At 35.1% G+C, this 23,871-nt stretch overlaps 1 long non-coding RNA gene across 1 annotated transcript, besides 1 other annotated feature; it reads right to left on the bottom strand.

The window, feature by feature from the left end:
• Positions 1 to 18,580: 18,580 nt before the first annotated feature.
• On the bottom strand, positions 18,581 to 22,513 carry LINC01997 (long intergenic non-protein coding RNA 1997). Its single transcript, XR_924689.3, has 3 exons — positions 22,330 to 22,513; positions 20,246 to 20,365; positions 18,581 to 19,529 (listed from the first exon to the last, which is right to left on the bottom strand). It is a non-coding gene; the product is annotated as a long intergenic non-protein coding RNA 1997 (long non-coding RNA).
• Positions 22,259 to 23,030: an enhancer, noted in NCBI's record as "OCT4-NANOG hESC enhancer chr3:168720282-168721053 (GRCh37/hg19 assembly coordinates)". NCBI's record gives its function as "activates a minimal SCP1, AML or CMV promoter by ChIP-STARR-seq in primed H9 embryonic stem cells {active_cell/tissue: H9 hESC(primed)}" and the evidence as "EXISTENCE:reporter gene assay evidence [ECO:0000049][PMID:30033119]".

Below are 23,871 nucleotides of genomic sequence, written 5' to 3'. Positions count from 1 at the left end.
ATTATAAGTATGCTTTCTATATATGTATGAAATATGTATATAAAAAAATCAGAAGCACAATGTCCTTTAATGTGTTCTTTCAGTGAATATATTACCACACTTATATCAAGTATAAATAAATATTTCCATCTTTGTCTTCCTGCGAGAGTGTGAGGTTGGTGAAAGCAGACACTAATGTATGCTACAGCCTGGCCAGAATATAGCCTACAGTAAGAACTAAAAAAGCACTTGCAATTAAATTAGAATTTTCAATAATGTCTTTTTAATGGCTATACTTTATTCCATTGTATATATGCACATATAATAATATACCTAATCAGTCCCCAATTTTTATTCCTGTTGAAATTGGTGTATAGTCATATAGTTAAGTCTCTATACACATGTCTGATTTTTTCCTTTGGAAAGACTCCTAGAAGTAGAATTTTGGATCCAAAGTTATAGAAAGGACAGCTATTTAAATAAAAACCTTTCTATCAGCATCTTAGAAATCATGATTTGGAAAATGACTTTTGGTTTTTGTTTTTTTTGTTTTTTGTTTTCTTCTAATATGGCCTTTCTAAATTAAGGTGAGAAAAAGAGTGGTCTCAAATTTTTCTTAGAACAAGGAAAGTTTAATAGTAAACATTTTTTCCCCTTAACATCAAGAAATTAAGCCGTAACCACTTTCCGTTCTGTCATTTTCTCTTTCTGATTCTTTGGCTTCCTTTCATAGCTGGTCGATGAAGATCTTTTGAGATTTACTATGTGTGGAACACTTATGGTATTAATCTCTTCTCTAAAGGTACTATTCTGCTCTTCCATTTAACACTCAAGCAGGTATATGGAATAACAGTGTAGAGACTATAAAATCATAGGCTGAAATTCCAAAGATAGTACCAATCAAACCAGAGAGAAACAATCTCACCTGCTTCTGTGCACACCCCTATTATCTGACTTGAAGGGACCTTTCATTGCCTTTCAGTTGAGACAGGTTTTAAAGCAAAGACCAGAAAGTTGACTAGAGGCCCAGAGGACTTATTAGCAATCATAAGAGAGGGTACATGTGCTAATGCTGAAGAACTTATACACAGTATTTTACTGAGGATACCCTTTAAAAGGGGCCCTAATTGTGTCTGAAACTCTTCCTTCCTCATCTCTAGGGATTATTCTACGATGCAGACTTCACAGTGAACAAAGACATTTGCTTTACAGCTTTCTTTGTAGTACCTGTTCAAAGTATAATAGGCTTGTCAATACATGGTAATGTTATTCCCACATTCTGTTAAGCACTATATTTATTATAAAACATAAATGATGGTGGGCTGACAGATTTTGTTAGTACAGACACTGGATTTTAACTACGCACAGCCTAGTTTAATTGATATGTATTTCTATAGTTTAAAAAACTTTTGTTGGTTGTTTTCCAAATGTGACTAATTTGTATTTTAATGCTGATATTATATTCAGTTCATGGCTGTAGCTAAGGAAATATAATCAGAAGAGTTTAATTTTGCTTTGAAATAGGTATATGATTTGTAAAGATCAGAAAAAAAGAGGGGGTATTTCTTTGAGTTTTAAATAACTGCAATTTTAGCCCACTTTTGATATCACAATTGTCTTGGACTAATTTGAATATAACCCCTTGTAGCAGGGTTGAACCATTTTCTCCAGGATCACAGTTCAATTCCATATATAGAACAAAAACTGAAAGGATTTAAAAAGTGTTTCTAATTGTGCCCCACCCCCAACACCCACAAAGAAGGCCGTGTCTTGTCACTGTTGTACAGTTATGCTTGTAAGCCACTTAAATCAAGCCAAATTTACAGTTGGAAGTACCATATTTCAGTGAAGATTTTTCCACTGATGCACAAACTTCAATTTAATAAAAAGGCCACTGGATTTTGGAACAAATATGAAAAATGATACTCTCTATTTATGTTGGAAACATTGAAGACATGATTCAAAGATTACCCTCATCCTGTCCCCCACAAGAAAAAACAGATGTATACATATATTCAAAATGATATGAATAATGGGGGCATTTATTCAGATATTTGGCTTGAAATAATCCGATGTACTAGATAAAAGTGTTTTGGTACTTTTGGGCTTGAATTATTGAGGTAATTGCACCAATTCACCATTTTACTTTGCCTCTGCAAGTATAGCAGTACGTTAATTATAGTCCAATGTACAGGGTTTTTTTTCCTCCACAGACACTTAAGGGATACTGGATTTCAAACCAGGAGATATGGCTTGATCCTCTGTCACCCTGGTTAGCCATGTGACCACGGACAAGCCACTTTTCCTTCACTGGTTCTGTTTCTTGAACTAGATAAAGACTATAAAGCATTCTCTGCACATTTTATGAAATTATGACAAGGCTAAATAACAACATGAAGAGCTAAGATTTATGGATCACCACGTGTTTTATATACACAATCTCCTTTAATTTTCACAAAAATCATCATTATGTAGAAGAATTGATGTTCAGAGAAATAAAAAACATTGTGAAAGTCACACAGCTAGAACTGTACAGTACCCAGACTCAAACCCCAGACTCGAATTCCAGTGTATACGTTATATGACTTCTAATGAGGCAAACTCCTGCACATAAATAAGGGATTACTTTTCATATGATTCCATTCAGTGCAATGAACCAGGAAACCTACAAAGAGTTGAGCAAACTCCCATACTGGTGGGTATTTAAAATTCACAGATTTTTCACCTTTTTTCAGCAATGATTCTAGGACATTTGAACAAATGACTCTTAACTGTGTCACTGTTGGGGCTGTCACCACATGTTCATGAAAGACATGTGAAACCTGTTAGCTTTGGCACCACCATCAATAATAACTTTGCCATTTCCCTCAGCTTGGGAACCAATCCCTGGGGTTGGATTTACTAACACCAGCATGAGGTCCCTTATCTAATCAGAGCTAGACTTAGCCATATTTCAGTGCATTTGACAAGAAATGATGCAATGGTCTTAGCTGAAAATGAGATATGCATTTGACATTTGAATATCACATGGTAATATGATTGTCAACTGAATTGCAAATAATAAGTTTAGTAAATGTACGGTTTAAAATAAGGTAAGGTTTTACTCTAGAGCTTTTCTTCCTTGGTGACCATGCTACTTTCCCACACGCATGCATTTATGTGTTGACATACTTACATACTTACTCACTTATCTAAGAAATAATAATAATATGCCTGTGAAAACAACCAGGTTGTGTCTGTTTTAAATACAGAGAAGTCACCCTTTTCCGTGCTCAAGATTTTCCCATACACTGATGAAGAAAATTTGAAATATTTCTGTTTCGATTCCTGCAGTGAATAATTTCCCATCTGTTCACCATCTCTTTATTCTGCAAATATTTCAAAGGTAACAAAATAGCATGTTCCATCCTTTATAAGTTTCTACCAAAATTCCCACCGAACAGACTACACAAAATGTATGCAAAGTAGGCTCACTATCATTTGCATAGCTTAAAAAAGGGAATATATGCAACTAAGAATTTCAAAAGAAAACATTTGACTTTCTAGAAATAACGAATAAGGTATAATATACAGTAAAATTCCACAAAATATAGAAGTGCTACAAATAGGCTAATTTTACATTAAACTGTTGCTAGAAAAACTGCAAACAGAGGTCAATCTTTGACAGATCTAAAAATACAACATGTGGATCAAATTTTCCAGTCACAGCTTCATCTCTGTAGATTTTCTTTCCCTTGTAAAAAATCTTGCTATTTCTGCAGAGGAACTGATTAAACTGTCCACTTTAGTGCTGAGCCATGTATTTCTGAAAATGAGCTTCAGCCGACAATGCAGTCTATTTGGGGTGTGTGTGTGTGTGTGTGTGCATATTTGTGTGGGTTTTAATCTGTCCAACACCAGCTTTTAGGTCCTACATTTCATATTTGACAATTTGCCTTCAGCATAAACTCTCTTGTAGTGGCAGCTGCTTGAATTTTCACATAAATGGTATTCCAGCTGAGAACTATGTCAGCATAGCCATGTCATTGGAACATATATTTTTAAGCCTTTTCTAATAATTAACATACATTATCATATATTGCTCTCTGTAACTCTTGGCTTTTACCTCAGTAAAAGAGGATGATGGTACACATTTTTAGCTCAACTCATAAACTTCAGAACAATTGAGCTAGAAGATGAAACACTTCTTGTAAAATTTTATAACAATGTCTTAGAAAAACTTGCTCTATCATGGACCCAGTTTTCCCCTAGGACTTAAATCACAACTGAAAGTGCTTTGTTTCTTTAGGCCACTTATTTACCGTTTCACAACATAATGCTCTACTAATGTAAGACACTATGGGGGAAATACTTTGACTAGAATATATGTTTTATCTATGCCAGTAAACCACAAAATATCCTGAATAAGCAAATACACTAGATAATTGAAGCTCATTCCTTTAAGTCCCCCAATTTTTTGTGTTAAAATATATACATGTTTTCATAGAATTTTCCCAAAAATGTACCTCATAATAAGCCTGAACATTTTTGCATAATTCAACTGGAGGGCAAATCTAATAAATATTCATTGTGATGCCTCTCTGGCTGATAATTTCCTTGCATAGGCATGGCACTAATATACAGTTTTGTCCCTCAGGAGCCAGTTTAGTTCTGTGTGAACTCTTTCTCATGGACACAACTGATTGGCTCATGGTTAGACACCTGACTTGAACTGGGTAATCAGAGTCCTTATCCATGATTTTCAGACAGAATTAATACAGGGAATAGTCCTCAAATTTAGACTGATGGGAGATACAGACTGTGATGCTAAAGTACTGCTGGCAGGCAGGTTACCCGTGACATGCAGGGAGGCAGTCTGCAGCAGGAACAAATGATGAAGAGAGGCCAAGGTGAATAGACAGACAAAAGATGCTAAGAAAGAAGTTGAAATTTTTTATCTGTTTACCTCTGAGTCATAGCTTTACTTCTGTCCTTCCTGAGATTAGAAAAGTAGCCTTCTTATGAGTTCCCTTTATTGTCTAACCTGGTTCTACCTGATTTCTGTTACATGAAAGCAAAGAATTCTGATGACATTATCACATATCTGTTTTGTCCACAGCTGATTCAGGGAAACTTCTGAACACTAAGCTATTGCAGGACAGATGAAATGGGTTTTATGTGAACCTTAGCCAGTGTGATTTTCTGAAGCAATGGAAGTATTTACAATAATTTTTTCTCTTAAATATGGCAAAAGCACTGATTTTAGACATAGCATTTTCTTTTCTTAGACATCTTCATATTGTCTTGATGATGTAGGGTTTTATGCTATGATGCATTTCCATCATTATACTCTTCTAATTCAGTGACACCTTCAGGAGCTTTTTGAAATAGGAGAGGCTGTGTCCACACTAAATGACCCCAGACAACTGGGCTTTGTAAGATATTGGGTTTGATTTACAAAGATTCTCTGTCATTCCCTCATTAGCTTGCTGTGGCCCTTGTATCTGCCTCTAGAAAGAGGTGGTTTGAGAAACAATATGGGCAATAGAGATAGGAGATGTGGGTTGGCCATAATGTGAGTAGTTGAACTTTGGTAGGTTATTTTAATATTTGAGCTTATCCTCCCTCTTCCAAAACTGGCATAACAGTAAACTTCCAAAGTAGATTTTCTAAAGAACAAATTTAAAAATGTATGGAAAATACATATTAGGAGTTCTATAAATCCTAGATCATTTCCAGCAAGTACTTCCCCTTACTTCTAATTTATCACTCCTAAATTGTTCTTGGCTAGGAAAGCATATCTGAAGACATGGGATTTGAAGGCTTGATAGTAAGTTAAAGATAATTTGACTTTTTAAAAAAAATCACTTTAAAGATTACTTATTTAAGTATTGTTTAATTTAAAACCGCTTATCCATATTTGAGTGCTCTCTACAAAGGTCTCATAATATGTTTAGACAAACACTTTCCCATCCTACCATAGAGAATGTTCATTTGCTCATTCCACTCTTGGGCAGCTATGATTATTAGAAGGTTCTGCTTACATTGAGATCATTGCACACTGGAACTGTTTCTACCTATCATTGCCAAACAGGTGGTAGTATGTGTGTTTCTATATAATGACTATTCAAATATTTGAAGGATACTGTCTTGTTCTCCAAATCTTCTTTTATCTAGGTTAAAAATGTCTACTCATTTTACTTCATCTTTCTTAATCATCTTTTCAATATCATCCATTTCATCTTTTTTGAACTAATGTACATCAGATATTATCTGAGTCACTTGGAGTAGAATCCAATTTTTCTCACACCAGCCCAAGATTTTATTTTTTGATAACTACAGAAGATAGCTGTCAAACAGAGGAATGTTTATATTCGGAATTAGATTATCAGTGAACCCAAGCTATAGCCTAGTGCCCTTCTCATGAATCAGTAGAAAACTTTGCTCACTATAAATCAAAGCTCAATCTAGTTTTATAAACACACACGTTTTATATATATATATATATATATATATATATACCAATTACAAAATCCTTTGTCTTACCATTTTTTGAAACTAGATGTTTGCATTTTTTATGTGGTTCTGTCATTTCAATCATAAACACCTTTAGTACATTGAGCTGAACTTTTAAGATATTTAGAATAGGTATCTTAGTCTATTTTCTGTTGCTATAACAGAATACCACAGACTGGATAATTTATAAAGAATAGACGTTTATTTGGTTAGTTGTCCTGAAGGCTGGGAAGTCCAAGAGTATGTTGCTGGCACCTGGCAAGGGCCTTCTTGCTGCATCATAACGTGGCAGAAGGGCAAGGGAGAGTGCTAGACAGAGAGGAAAATCAGGCCAAACTCATTCTTTTTATCAGGAGCCCACTCTCAAGATAACTATCCCACTTATACAATAACAACATTAGTCCATTCATGACAGTGGAGCCTTCATGGCTTGTTTACCTTTTAAATGCCCCACCTCCCAATACCACTTCTTTGGCAATTAAATTTCCACATAAGATTCAAAGGGGACATTCAAACCATAGCACTAGGTGTTCTTTTAGAATCATAATTGTAATTTTGATTTAACTCTAATCAATTCAATTATTGTTCTATATTTTTTCAGCCTGGAAAAAATTTTGCTTTCAGAGACTCACTTTCTCTATTGCCATTTACAAACACTGCTCTAAGTGGTGCTCCAATTTTTTAATTGCTTTTCTTTGAATGTCACTGAGAACTGAAAAGCTCTATTTGATAAGTTTTCAGTGTGTGTGTGTGTGGGGTGGGGGTGGGTGTTTATGTTAAGGGTCATGTAATTTAGGACTTCAACACAAATGGCCAGTGTAAGAGTTAAAGCCAACTGCAAAACTTTGGCAGGAACAGTCCTCATAAGAGAACATTCTCAAGTTTGATAATTTGCTAGAAATGTCACATGACTCACTGAACACTCTTATATTCATAGGTAAAGTTTGTTAGAGAGAAAGGGTACAGATTAAAATCAACTAAGAGAAGAAGCACATAGGGCAGATTCCAGGAAAAGTATCTAACATGGAGCTTCCATTGTTACTTTCTTGGCATTGATTCTTGACAATACACATGGAGTATCTTGACAATACACAACCAGGAAAACTCACCCTACCCTTTTGTGTCTAGAGTTTTCACTGCTGTTTAATCACATACTGCCATGTGGTTGAGCTTTTCATTTTCAACCCCTTCTAGAAGTTGAACTGACACCTGTAGTCTCCAGTCTCTTCTGGAAGCAAAACTGATGCTGCATGACCCAAAGCATCTATCATAAATTGCCTTATTAGACTGTCTGTTGGCTAAAACCCACAGGCAAAGACACTCATATCAGGTATGATATTCCAAGGACCTAGAGATCACTTCCCAATATTGGGAGGAAAGGTCAGAATTTTCTCTGAATAAAGTTAATTCTCTACTCTGTAACTAGACAGTAAACTCATCTATTTTATTTTAAACTTTTTAAAGAAAGACATCTCATCGAATGTTTGTGTTCTCCCTGCCCCCAAATTCATATTTTAAAATCCTAATCCCAATATGTTGATATTGGTAGGTGGGGCCTTTGGGAGGTAATTAAGTCATAGATCTGAATCCTCATAAATGAAATTAGTGCCCTTATATGAAGAGACAGGAAAGAGATTTTACTGTTGACCATATGAGGTTACAACAAGTAGACGGCTGTCTGCAAACCAGGAAGAATGGCCTCACCAGACTGAATCTGCAGGTGTATTGATTTTGGAATTCCCAGTCTCTAGAACTATGAGAAATTAATGTTTGTTGTTAAAGTCACATAGTATATGGTATTCCATTATAGTCTGAACTGACTAAGACATATATCACTGTTCTCCACAGAATATGACATAGGAAGATGCTCTATAAATATTTTGGAGTAAACAAATTAATGTAAGCACAAAACTTCCTGTTTTTACTAGGATTTCACTACTTTCTTACACTCAACTTTGCTTACCTGCCCTTATAATTTGTTATATGTCTTTAGAAACGCTAGGCTCATTTTATATAAAAATTCAGATTTCTGTTTTTTCTTTTATGAAATCAGAAGCTATGACAGAGTCCTGAATGACAACAATTTGGGGAGCTGAAGAGCAACTGTCCGCATCCTACAGGACACCTCCCCAAGTTCATCACAGTTGACACCCAGTCTGCTCCACACACTGTATTTTCTGTTATTTATTTTTTCTTTGGTGGTCCTCTCTTCCTAATGGGAATAGTCAAGTGACGTTTTCATGCAACAAGGGTCCTGACCTATTCGGAGGTTTCAAAGAGAACCTCGCTGAGGTAATAACTGATAATAATTAATTTAGAATAATAAAAAGTAAACATAAAATGCATTTTTAAAAGATACAAAATTAGCGTGAACCCAGGAGGTGGAGCTTGCAGTGAGCCGAGATCGCGCCACTGCACTCCAGCCTGGGCGACAGAGCGAGACTCCGTCTCAAAAAAAAAAAAAAAAAAGATACAAAATTATACCTAAAAATAAACTCAATGCTGTATCAGTCTCTTCAGGTAAATGTATGGATTTAAAGCCATTCCAGTAAAATAGATGCTAAAGCTCCTATAGAAGAATAAATAAGTGAAAATAAGAAAAAAAGTCATAAAAGAAAAAATAATGAGGGGTGCTTTCAAAACTAGATATGTTACTAAAGCTATCATAATGACTCTGGTGTGCTACCACCATATAAACAGACAAATAAATGAAAGGAAATGGAAAACTGAGAAAAAGACTCGCAACACATTCATTATTTTCCTCAGTCCAATTGTTTATAGCCAGAGAATATCACATGAAGCAAATCTGAAATTCATACCATATTTGAATGAACACAAATGTATTGTTTTGCATACAGAAGTCAAGCAAGACAGATGAATAAACAGACTTAGATAATCAGAAACTACATGTGCTTACTAATATGATATAAAGGATCCATCTTAATTAGTAGGAAAGAATGGTTTAATCATTGGGAAGGGGAATGGCATAATTTGTTGATTATTTGGAAAAGATAAAGCTTTCTTCCTACCTCATAATATTTATTTAAAAATTGCAGATGGATTAAAGTGTTATAAAGAACACAGTTTTAAAGTCATAAAACAAGTACAGATGAAAATACATCATTTCTTGGTAGAAAAGCAAACAATTAAAAACAGAATTGTTAATAAATTCAAGTACATAAAAACAAAAATGATTCTCATAAATTATCAAAAATAAATTATGGTAAACTAGTGAAAATAATTTTAAAATAAAGTAAAAATAAAGAACAACTGTTATTTATGAAAATTATTATAAATTAATAAGATACATTAATAAGGAATATTGATACAAGAAAATAGGCAACTTATACAAATTATGAACAATATAAGAAAACATTTGCATCACAATTATCAAAGAAGTATATTAAAATGTCAATAATAAATGATTTTTCATGCATAACATTCGCACAAGTAAACAAAAAGGTAATATTCAGTATTGGTAAGGGTGGTAGGAAATAAGGACAGTCATGTACTATTTTCAGAGATGTAAAATAATGCAGCTTTTCTAAAGGTCAATATGGATAATATTTAGCAAAAGCCTTAAGAATATTCACACATGTGAGTCAGCACCCTCACTTAAAGGAATATATTCTAAGAAAACATTTTAAGCTATTAAAAAAGATTTATGCTCATTTTTTCTTCTTTGTAACATAAAAATATTCAGCAATAGGCTGAGCATGGTGGCTCATGCCTGTAATCCCAACGTTTTGGAAGGCCAGAATGAGAGTGTTGCTTGAGGTCAGGAGTTTGAAATCAGCCTGCAGAACATAGTGAGATCCTGTCTCTAAGAAATTAAATAAGTACATATATATTAAATTAAGAAATTAAATATATATATATGAATATATGAGTTTCATGCATTCAGCAGTGGAAGTATGGTAAAATCAATAAGTTATGGTTAATGAATGAATTAAACATAACCATGAGAAAGTGTATTAAACAAGTATTGTAAAAGTGTTGTAAAATACATACATATAAAATTTTACAATTATATAAATAGAAAATCTACTAGAAGAAAGCACACAAAATATTAGCAGTAATCTGTAGCATTTTTTCTACTTTAACATATTTTTAATTTGAAAATTTTCTTTTTATTTATGTATTTTCTAATTAGAATAAATGATACATATATGCATTCTTACAACACACACACAGAAAACGCTGATTAACCTACAGCCTCAAGTAATTCCATTTATTTTTCCAGAAGTATATTAACTTCTGTGTGTATCTCTATAAACTTTTAAATATTAAATATATATTCTATTGCAACCAGACATAAAGGCTATTTTAATGAGTGCTGATCGAAAGAAAAGAGAGTAATCTTTCTTTAACAATCATAGGTCAAAATATTAAGGGCAGTATCTGTGACAAGCCCATCTTCAGGACTGAAACCATATAATGATATAGCAAAGAAAGTTATGTTGCTTTGTACTCAGGTAAATCACTAATCTTGACTATCCCCATCTCACCACTCCTCAAAATAGATAATATTGGTTCTCACTGAGCACCTTCAGAACTTAATAAAATGCTTTAGTGGAGGTACAGAGTGTATGTTTCCAACAATGCCTATGAACTTTATTAGGGAGAAGATGTATTCCCAGTCTTTGTGATTTTGCTTTGAATGCACAAAATTTTTACATAAATTGCTACTCATTTTTAAACAGAAGAAACATATTGAATGCAAACTGAGACTCTGCTCTCACTTTATGAGGAGGAAAAAACAATGGACAGAGGTATGAATCAATGATGGATTATTCTGAGCTTTGTATGACACAGCTGCATATTACAGGATTTATGAATACCATATGTCCACAAGTTTTTGTAAATTGAGGAATATGTAAGAAATAGAGAGTTTACTATAATGGAAGAGCAACCAATGTTACTTTTAAATTGACCTTTACAAATGGCTGACTTGCCACAAAGAGTAGTTGGACTTTATGCTCAAAAGCTAAGCAAATGGTTCAACATTTAATTTTTAAGATGATTAGCCTACATGTTTTTGACAGTGATAGGAGGAGGTAGAGTCACTTAATTGTTTAACCCCTATTAGTTGTATGTCTCGTACGTAAAATGTGCCATGCTGGGCTCTAGGGGTCTAGTAAGGGTGTGGAAGTTTATTTGCCCTTGTGGAGCTCATGGTCTGCCTAGAAGGAGGTATAGGTTTAAATATTTCCAAAGTATCTTACTGTGGTAAATGCTATCACACAGGTTCTAGGAGCCATGGAAGCAAAAGAAAATTCAAATGGTGCCCAAAAGAAGTGATGTCTAGGTTAAGAATTGCAGGATGAATAAGATAAATTTGTGAGATTGGGAAAGGGGAGGTATCTCAAATAAAAAGAGAATGTTCCAGCAAAATAAAATTTCCATCAGTCCTGGAAGTAGAAGGACATATGCCACATTCAGAGAACTGAAGGCAGTTTTCCATGGCAGAAGAGTGCAGAGATATGATTGCACAGGTAAGTAGGGCAGATGGTGAGTGGCCCTATCAGCCATGAAGAGCAATTAGAACCTAATCCTACAGGCAGTGCTGGCAAGGCAAGTGACAGATCAGATTTTGAATTAGAGATCACAGAGATTGGGGTAGAGAGACCACTGAGGAGGTTGCTGCAATTCTCCAAGTGGGAAATCATGTGGTGTGCAATGAGTGGAGGCAGTGCAGATAGAGAGAAGCAGGGAGATTTCAAAGGTAAAAGAAGACAAGTCTGAGTTGGCTGAGGATTGCTTAGGAAATACTGGACTCCAGGGGGAAGCCGAAAGTTCTGGCTTTGGTGCATGGTGGTGAGATGAAAAAAAAAAAAAAAAAAAAAAAGCAAGCACAATATGTTGAGAAAGTATGATGATTTGGCACTGGCTAAGTTGATTTGAAACAATTTCTGAGGCATTATACAGAATGTGCAGAGGGCAATTATATATATAGATGGAAAAAGAAACATTACAAAAGAGAATGAAAAACTAAGTGCAGTAGGAAGCCAGAAAATTATAGGTCTTATATTAAAAAATAGTCTTCCCTCTCCAAATCTTAGTATATGTGTTATATGTAAGAGTGACTAAATATATATTTTCTCAATTAGTTTGTTGAAATATAATTTATATACCACTAAATTCACCAAATTTGAGTGTACAATTTAATGATTTTGCCAAATGTATAGAGTTGTGTAACTCTCACCTCAATCCTGGTATAGAACATTTCTGTCATTTCTAAAAGTTCCCCTGTGGTTCTTCACTATCACACTACTCCCACTCCTAGCCCCTGACCACCACGGATCTGCTTCATCACTATATTTTTGCCTTTTATAAAATTTCATATACAGAGTAAACAGACAACCTACAGAATTGGAGAAAATATTGTCAAAGTATGCATCTCACAAAGGTCTAATATCCAGAATCCATAAGGAACTTAAACAAACTACCAGGCAAAAGCAAATAACTACATTAAAAAAAAAGGAGGCAAAGGATGTGAACAGGCACTTTTCCAAAGAAGACATACATGTGGCCAACAAACATATGAAAAAATGCTCAGCATCACTAATCTTTAGAGAAATACATATGAAATACCATCTCACAAGGATCAGAATGGTTATTATGAAAAAGTCAAAAATTAACAGACACCAGTGAGGTTGTGGAATAAGAAGAATACTTATACACTACTGGCAGGAATGTTCAGCCACTGTGTAAGGTATCTGGAGACTTCTCAAAGAGCTTAAAACAGAACTACCATTCAAGCCAGCAATCCATTACTGGGTATATACCCAAAGGAGTATAAATCATTCTACCTTAAAGACACATGCACATCTATGTCCATGACAGCACTTATAAGTGGGAGCTGAACATTGAGTATATGTGGATACAAGGAAGGGAATAATAGTAATCAGGACCTACTTGAGGGTGTAGGGTGGGAGGAGGGTGAGGATCGAAAAACTAGCCGTTGAAGAAATACCATTTGACCCAGCAATCCCATTACTGGGTATATACACAAATGAATATAAACCATTCTAATACAAAGATACATGCACGCTTATGTTAATTGCAGCACTATTCACAGTAGCCAAGACATGGAATCAATGTAGATGTCCTTCAGTGGTGGACAGGATAAAGAAAATGTGGTACTACTTTTACTGCTCAGTAGTATTTTTTTATATGGACACACCAAAATTTGTTTATCCATTCAGCAGAGAATGAACATTTGGGTTGCTTGACTATTATGTATAAGGTTGCTGTAAACTTTTAAGAACAATTCTCTGTGTGAACATATATTTTGATTTCTCTTGGGTAAATATGTAAATATAAGATTGCTGGGTTTTATGGTTCTTACTTCATAAGAAACTGCCAGCCTGTTTTCCATTGTGGATGTATATTTTACATTCCCATCATTAATGTAAAAATGTAAAAATGTTCCGCATCCTTTCAATACCTGATTTTATCAAGTATTTAAGATTTAGCCATTTCCATATATGGTATTTCATTGTAGTTTTAATTTGCATTTCTCTAATGAGTAAGTATTTGGTTAAATCTGCTTGGTGTTCTATAATCTTCTTGTACTTGGATATTGACATCTTTCTCTATGTTTCGAAAATTCTCTGTTATTATCCCTTTAATTAAACTTTCTACCCCAGTCTCATTCCCTGCCTCCTCTTTGAGGCCAATAACTCTTAGATTTGCCCGGTTGAGGCTATTTTTTAGAACCTGTTAGGCAGGCTTCATTGTTTTTTCTTCTTTTTTCTTTTTATCTCCTCTGACTGTGTATTTTCAGATAGCCTGTCTTCAAGCTCACTAATTCTTTCTTCTGCTTGATCCACTGTGCTATTAAAAGACTCTGATGCATTCTTGAGTATGCCCATTGCATACTAAAGGGCAAATTTAAGAGTTATTGGCCTTAAATAGGAAGTAGAAAGAGAGAGAGAGATGGGGTAGAGAGTTTATTCAAAGGGATACTGTCAGAAAACTTCCCAAACCTAAAGAAAGATATCAACATTTAAGTACAAAAAAGTTATAGAACATCAAGCAGATTTAACCCAAAGACTACCTCAAGGTATTTAATAATCAAAGTCCGGTTAATAATAATAACAATATGTAATTCTGAGTCTTGTTATGAGCATCTCAATCTAAACTGATTTTTTTTTTTTTTTTTTTTTTTTGAGACAGAGTGTTGCTCTGTCACCAGGCTGTAGTACAGCAGCACAATCTCCGCTCAGTGCAACCTCCGACTCCCTGGTTCAAGCGACTCTCCTGCCTCAGTCTCCTGAGTAGCTGGGATTACAGGCACGCGCCTCCATGCCCAGCTAATTTTTGTATTTTTAGTAGAGACGAGGTTTCACCATGTTAGCCACGGGGGTCTCAATCTCCTGACCTCGTGCTCTACCTGCCTCGGCCTCCAAAAATGCTGGGATTACAGGTATGAGCCACCGCGCCCGGCCAATCTAAACTGATTTTAAGTGAAGAGGGAATCTATCTGTTCACTAGCTGAAAAGGCTAAGTGGTGGGTCAAGGCCCATTGAATCCAGAGGTCCAAGGTTGTCAGTAGTCTCCCTTTCTCTCATATGTTTAGTTCTCTTTCTTCCTTCTCAGACTTCCTCCAGGTGGTGGCAAGATGGTTGTTGGCAACTCCAGACTTTTATTTCAAAAGCTTGGCAAAATGAGTAGACAGAAGGAATCTTTTTAAATAATTATTCTGGCAGAAAATGTCTGAGTCTTGTGTGGGTGATTTTCCCTTTCCTGAACCAATCACTGTGGCCAGGAGAAAGTGATATTCTAACTAGTCAGGTCTTGAAAATCAGGGACATTTTATTAGATGTTGAAGATTCAAAGCTCAATAGGATATGATCTTTGATCTTTCAGACTTAGTAAATTGTTTATACTCTACTATGTGTCACAAAGGAAGATTGGTCAGTTGTATCATTCAGTTAGTGATTAGGAAGAAGGTCGCAATATGTTTTCTATCTTTTGACACTTTCTTTAGTATCCTTGCTTGCTACTGCAATACACCGTGCTACATTAGCACAGTAGATTAACAGGAAAACAGGCAACAGGTGAGCAAGCTTTGAGAAAAGAACGTAGCAGCAGAAAAACACTAAATCACTACACTAAACAAATTTCATGAATATAAGAGAAAAATAATACTAACATTTTAGTATTAAAAGACACCTCTGTCTTTTTCCTCTTTCATACCTAATACACTTATGTGGTCCTGTTTGAATACTATGTGACAATGTTGATATTTTTGTTTGTGAATTATGTCCAAGACTAGACAGTTGAATAATTGAAGGCAGAAAAAATCAGTGCCTTTTGATTTTTGTATTTGCATAAGGCCCAGGATATAACCTTACTCATATTAACATCTCAATGAATTATTTATTGAATGTATGAATGAGTAAATGAATAACTAAGGATTGTTCTGCATTATTATGTGTGAGACATTCTATGTGCTTCACATGTATTTGTCCATGGTATCCTAGTAATCCTCTAAGATAGATTCTATTTATTCCTCATTTTGCAAATAAGAAAATTAATCCACAGAGAGTTGTTATTTGCCCATGATCTTGTGAGGATCAAGTTTTAAACTCAGGCCACCTGATTTTTGACTGCTCTAAGTTGTCTTTCTTTTTTTAAGAATAAACTTATTGAAATACTTTGTTATAGAATAAGAAACAAAAAATAAATATTGTATATTTTAACAGTAAAAAGCAATTGGCCACCTATGAAGAGAAAGATTATAATTAGCCTAGAAATGGTCAAAGCACAAGAGTATTATCCATTAACTGGATGAGTCAAATGATGATGTAAGAAAAACCCTTCAATGGTGAGCTAAGACAATCACCTGAGTGACTGTTAGTCTATAAGAGGGCTAAGAAATGATTATCTCTTTGTTCTTAGGTAGCCAAGTAGAAATAAACAAAATTAAGTGACAAGTTGTTTCAACAATTGGTGATGCAAAGAGACCATTCTGAGTTCATTAGACAGCAAATTACTTGACATACAATAAAGCTCAGTAAACCTCAGCTATTACTGTAGAAGAAACCCAAGGCTTCAACAATAGCAATAGCAACAGCAATAGCAGGAAATAAGCATAGAACTACCGCTAGAGCGACCTGGGACTCCTGTTTGCAACTGTATGAGGATGTAATTTTTTTGTTTGTTTATCTCTTTGATCTGTGACTATTGCTGTTTATCTTAACTCCTACATTTGAATAGCTTATGTTGAATTGTTAATAATCATGGAGGGCTCCAGGAAAAAATTGTAATTTGAGTAAAAATTTGTTTGTTGCTTCTTTACTCTCCTTTTCTTTGAGTATTGTCTTAGTATACTTTTGATTTTCTGAAACCCAAAGTTACACTAGCTTAAATAATAAAACAATTATTTTACTCATGTTAGAGAAAGTTCAGAAGTTGGACACTCTTTTGAGTTGACCAATTAGCTCACAAGATTATCACAGATCTAGTTTGTATTTTTCTCTTTGCTCTGACAGTCACTGTGTTAGTTGGCTTCTGGAGCGGATTCTCCTCTTGGTCACAGGATGGCTATTAGTAGCAACTAGCATCCTTTATTCATGCATCCTTAGACGCATGAGTTAGATGTAGAATGAGTGAAAAAGTGTGGCTACCTGTGACAACATCTTGAGAAACTGAAGAACATATCATGTAAAAATCTATTATTATAGCTCACCGAGTCCTTGATACAATAATGAATAAAACTGTAGTTAAATTCATATACCATAAATTGCAAGGCTGCCTAATTAAAAATTTTAGTTTTAGTTTTAAGAAAAATTTATGTACCTATTGCCATACAATTTGTCATATCTATAGCTCATCTATTTATTGTCATCATAAAAGTTTCAGCCTATTTTTGAGTAAAAAACAAACATTTTCTTGTGATATCGAGTTTATTTTAATAGTTATTTTCCAACTGCTATTGACTTGAATCACTGAGACATTAGTTAGAATGTCCTTCAACCTGTTTTAGAGAATTGTATTTGCTCCCTTAACATTGTAAACACTTTTTTTATTAGAGGTTAATTTTGCTTACCAACCTTGTGACACGTAAATAATGACCACACTGTTCCTAATGGCAAGTCAGTAGGCAAGAGGTGAACATTTTCTTAATGAATCAGAAATATATTTTGAAAGCATTTCTCTTCATGTAAGGAATTGCAACTAACAATTAAAATAAGTGACTAACAGATTCGTTTAAAAAACCAATGCAAAATCTTCCTACTCTGCACCTAGAAGTCTTTAGCATGTATCATTAGCTAGCTAAACACACACACACACACATGCACACACACAAATTTTACTAGTATGTAAGCCAAAATTATCTGAGACAGGTCTCAGTCAATTTATAAGTTTGTTTTGCCAAGTTTAAGGACATGCCTGGAAGAAAAGAGCATTGAATCACAGAAACAGTCTGTGGTCTGTGCCTTTCTCCAAAGATGATTCTGAGAGTTTCAATATTTAAAGGGGAAAAGCAGGCTAGAGGGGAAAGGGGGAGGGTATGGTCATCCACATGTTGCAAGAGAAAAGAAGCAGGTGGGGAATTAGTCAGTCATGTATTCCTCTCAAGCTCAGTAAATTGGCACTTTACATAATTTAAGGTGAACATAGAGTACTTACCTGTGGAGATATTTAACCTCTTATCTGTAGCTATCTGCTTAGAAACAAAAGAAAAGGTAGCGTCTTGCATGACTCAGCTTAATTTTTTCTTTTTGGCTTAGTGAATTGGGGTCTCAGGTTTTTATTTTCCTTCCACAAGTATGAGGTTAAAAAAATGTTATATTTTACCAATCAACTATACTCTTTGGTTTGTGAAATCTTGGATTAAATGAGATGGCTTTTACCTCTCGTGTTAAATGCTATTGATTATATAAGAAGCTATGGTTGCTACAGTCAAGGGCTTTGCCATCTATGTCAGAAAACAATATCCGTCCATGAACAATAGATAACAATATAAATTGTGAGTAGTCAATCCCAAATTCTGCGCTGGATATTTTAAGTGCCATAGGGAACACTCCAATAAACCATTGAGGCTCAGATGTAATTAGTGGCTCATTGTCTCTGACACCCTTCCATCCAGGAATTTCTTCTTTTTTTTTTTTTTAATTATACTTTAAGTTTTAGGGCACATGTGCACAACATGCAGGTTAGTTACATATGTATACATGTGCCATGTTGGTGTGCTGCACCCATTAACTTGTCATTTAACATTAGGTATATCTCCTAATGCTATCCCTCCCCCCTCCCCCCACCCCACAACAGGCCCCGGTGTGTGATGTTCCCCTTCCTGTGTCCATGTGTTCTCATTGTTCAATTCCCACCTATGAATGAGAACATGCGGTATTTGGTTTTTTTGTCCTTGCGATAGTTTGCTGAGAATGATGGTTTCCAGCTTCATCCATGTCCCTACAAAGGGCATGAACTCATCATTTTTTATGGCTGCATAGTATTCCATGGTGTATATGTGCCACATTTTCTTAATCCAGTCTATCATTGTTGGACAGTTGGGTTGGTTCCAAGTCTTTGCTATTGTGAATAGTGCCGCAATAAACATACGTGTGCATGTGTCTTTTTTGAAAAGATCAACAAAATTGATAGACCACTAGCAAGACTAATAAAGAAGAAAAGAGAGAAGAATCAAATAGAAGCAATAAAAAATGATAAAGGGGATATCACCACCGATCCCACAGAAATACAAACTACCATCAGAGAATAGTATAAACACCTCTATGCAAATAAACTAGAAAATCTAGAAGAAATGGATAAATTCCTTGACACATCCACCCTCCCAAGACTAAACCAGGAAGAAGTTGAAGGTCTGAATAGACCAATAACAGGCTCTGAAATTGAGGCAATAATTAATAGCTTACCAACCAAAAAAAGTCCAGGACCAGATGGATTCATAGCCGAATTCTACGGGAGGTACAAGGAGGAACTGGTACCATTCCTTCTGAAACTATTCCAATCAATAGAAAAAGAGGGAATCCTCCCTAACTCATTTTATGAGGCCAGCATCATCCTGATACCAAAGCCTGGCAGAGACACAACAAAAAAAAGGAATTTTAGACAAATATCCCTGATGAACATCGATGCAAAAATCCTCAATAAAATATTGGCAAACCAAATCCAGCAGCACATCAAAAAGCTTATTCACCATGATCAAGTGGGCTTCATCCCTGGGATGCGAGGCTGGTTCAACATACGTAAATCAATAAATATAACCCAGCATATAAACAGAACCAAGGACAAAAACCACATGATTATCTCAATAGATGCAGAAAAGGCCTTTGACAAAATTCAACAGCCCTTCATGCTAAAAACTCTCAATAAATTAGGTATTGATGGGATGTATCTCAAAATAATAAGAGCTATCTATGACAAACCCAGGAATTTCAATAAATGGAAATAACTAATCATGATATATTTGGCATTATGACCTACATTCATAAACAAGCAAAGGGACTTTTACAATTATATATTTAAATTACAGGTTATATGTTTCAAACTAGAGCTAATGTAAAATAGCAATTGTTACATAGAAATCAAAAAAGAAGATTCTGTAAAGTGATTCTGAAAACTCTATTGTATAACATAGTGAGTCTTGTGACTTTTGTGAAATAAATATTATAAAATAGGTAGAATTTAAATATCTGACATTACAAATTATTTGTAATTCTGGTTCAATATCAGCATATATATATAGTTATTTTGTTTGTTTTTATAGGGAAAATAAAGTAGAATTTTATACTTCTAGGAGGGAAAGATTCTTTAGCAAGTCAAATACTTTGGACCGTCAACCAATGGTGCCAGGGGTTTTGGGAGATCCATGACATAGAACATCCAGTCCTTGCTTGTAGATGTGTATAACCTGGTAAGGGAGAAAATAATGAAACATTTGAACTATCAAGAAAGCAGTTAAAAAATAAAAATAATTCATGTCTTGTAAAAATGTTCACTAATGCCAACATGGTTTTAACAAATCTAAAGTAATTTTGCCATGATTTGTTTTACTTGCCTAATTATAGACACAGGCTGCACCAGAGTATCCTGAGCCCAGGGAGTATTTCATTTGATAATTATTTTCTAATATTTATTTTTTCTCTTGAGTCTAAGAAGTAATCCCATACTAGGAGCAGTGGCACCTTCGAAGACTTCCTATTGAGATTTCAGAAGAAATTCTTTAGAATATTTTTTGTGCACCTGGTTCTAGGGATCCTCAGCTCCTCTCTCAGAACCCTTGTGCTCATTCTGAGCAAAAGTCAAATATATCTATTTCAAACTTTTTATTCGGGTTTGTTCTGTCTGTGTCATTTTTTTTAGAGTTGTTGCTGTGATACTATGGTTTTAAAAGATCTGAAAAGAATACCTGTCTGACTTATACCTTGCCACAATCTCCTTAAACTTTGGGGTTGGCCTATAAATGAAAGAAAAGGAAACGGAGAAACAAGAGAAGCAAGCAAGGATGAATAGGAAAAGGGCTTTGGAAGGGTGAAAAAGTCGATGTTTTTGTTTTTGTTTTGTTTTCAGGTGGAGGAAGGAGAAGAGAAATAATCTACTATTTTGCCTAGATCACATGAGTCATGAACTTGTGGTGGAGGTGAAAATAAACTCCTGGCCCTCCATCAATACTCTAACCACGAGACTGCCATTTCCTGCTTAGTTTTCAGAAATATATTTTATCGACCCTAAACTTGTTTGATATATAAAATGAATTTAATAATCTTAGGCTCATATAAAATAGAATAAGATTTATCAGTCAAAAGAATTTCCTGACCAAGGATGCACTGCATTACCTTAGGAACATACCCCAAGCCACATCATTTCTTTAATGATGCCTTTTAAAAATTCCTGACCTCCCACCACTTCTGCCCTGACAGATTTTTCCTGTTTTAGCAGTATACTCTTATCCCATCAAACAGCTTTCAGCTGCATTATTTATTTGGGTAAAAACAACAGGAGTGGAGATGAGGGACTTATCAATTCCAACTTACACAGAAAAATGACTACAATTATCAGGTTTGGAGTTACTTTCTTTTTCACCTCTTAAAACATCCCCCGCATTCATGTTCATGCGATGAACATGGCAACTTTCTGATTGCCTTTCAACCTCACTATTGTGTATGTCAGTTCAATACCTTTAATAGCCCTGCCTCTGTGTTCGTCTGAAGCTACTGTTGGTATCTGGGGTTTCACTCTTTGGTCTTCTAGTTTTACATCAGAAGCGAAGGTTTACCAAAAGTTCCTGACCTATCCCTGGTTGCAGCATTTCCTTGTTTCCTCAAGTAAGTCAGAGCCCTGCGAGAGGAATTGCTCTGAAGGGTAGGGGCTGAGGCTCAAGTGTTTTAGTAATAGGTTTGGGGTAAGCTGGACATGTCCTTCGTGACTAGTCTAAGCACATTAGGAGTGGGGATCTGAACGAGATAGGCAACACGGTAGAATAGGGAAAGAACTATTCTGGAAGCAACCTAGGCAACTTAATACCTAGCCTCTCTGACCCTCAGTCTTCTCCCCTCATCAAAAATACCCAGGCAGAAACACTAATACCCACCCTAATTACATCACTGTTATCATGGTGATCAAATTTCATCATGCAGGGTAAAATCCTTTTAAACTCTTAAAGCACTTCACAAATTATCAGCTTTCATTAATATGAATTCCCTGAACACTATTAAGCTGTTTGTCCCAACACTGTGGCTGTGGAACTAGCTTCCTTGAGTCCAGTTACACAACCGTCTTTCTCCATCTGTTGTACTCAACACCAGCTACTACAAAGGTGGCATAGGATATCTATGGATATCTATGATAAGAAGGTTGCTATCTACTGCTCCATACCGTATTTCCTGATTAAAACAAAAACCCATTTGTGATCATTTTTCTTTTCCTTCATTCTTCACTCTGTGAAGTTTTTTTGTGATAATTTGATCCTGGTTTTGTAGAGTTATCTCAAGGTGTTTCTCTTGCAGGAAAAGTATCAAGACATCTGTGGATGAGTGCTGATATAGTCACTGGCAACCTCTCTTCCATTTCCTGGTTGGCCTATTGTTTACCTAATTGCCAGTAATAATATTTCATTGTGTAAAGAATGTTGGCACCAGGGGCCCAAGTTCCAGTTTATTGATGGCTCAGAGCTTATGAATTGATGCCCTCAGCAGGTTGCTGCCCTGATGAATGGCAATTACTGTGGCTCCCACAGAGGCAATTGTAGCCAGAGCATTTACTCCTTTCAAATAATTGCCCCTGAGAAGCTGAACAGGTAATTGTAACATCTGAAAACCATGCTGTTGGCTCAGAATCAAAGAGTATTAATCTCCATAACAGAGGTGTTTTGGAATGACCCAAAAGAGTTGTTAAAGAATGGTCTCTGGAGTGTTTAATTTTAAGAATTGGAGAAACCTTAGTAAGATCCCCCCTCCCTAACGCAAATTAAAATGTTGTAAAGACACCCAGATAACAGTTACGGGTGCCCACCTTTTGATGTTGTAATATTCTATAGTGATTGGTTGGTTTTAAACTATGTACCTATCAGTACTTCTCCTTAAAATGCTTCAAACACCTTGCTCTAGCCAGTCTAACCTACCCATTAACCCCCAAAGTGTTATGTGCTTATTCTCACCCAGAATATTTGTTCATACTACTCTTTAAAACCATTCAATAAATGTATGCTATGAAAAATAACAAAAAAGTAGAATTATTTGGAATATAATTTAATTTTACACTATGATTTAGATGAGTTTAACAAATTTCTAAAGCCCCTTCAATGTAGATTGTGCTAAAATCTTGGAGTCATACGTGTCTTCTACAGACTCAAAGGATTATCAAAGTTTGATTTCTGTTTATTTTGGTGCCGTGGGAGAAATGAGAAATAACCACATAGTATAGCTTCTTTGCTTAAACTTTACTTTCAGGAAGAATATTGCACAAAATGAGAGAGCACATAAGGAGACTAACTCATGATGGTTTGGGAAAAAATGAAAGTAAAAGGGTAACAGAAAATACTGTAAGTATAGAGTCACACCTGCAGCTTTAAGGTCTTTTGTGTGGAATAAGGTTCAGACATCTTTAAGAATGGCATTAGAGGAAAGGAAGAAAATTTTTAAAAGGGGAAAAGATTTTCAAAACAAATGACGATATAGAAAGATCATAAACTAGCTTTAAATTCTAAAATACATGATGTTTAAACTTTTTTTTTTCAAATTGTTAGAAATAAGGTCAGTGTACTGAAAAGAGCACTGCCAGGTATGTTCTTCTGTAAAGCCAATCAAAGCATCATCATTCAAAGTGCCAGGGATTTAAAAAATATTTTAGTATCATCATATTTCAGACTGATTTGTAATGCCAAGAGGAGTGAGTAGAAGACTTCAGAGTAAATTATGA

Source organism: Homo sapiens, chromosome 3 (genome assembly GCF_000001405.40).
Source record: "Homo sapiens chromosome 3, GRCh38.p14 Primary Assembly".
Taxonomy (NCBI): Eukaryota; Metazoa; Chordata; class Mammalia; order Primates; family Hominidae; genus Homo; species Homo sapiens.
This window is presented reverse-complemented; position numbering and strand designations above follow the sequence as displayed.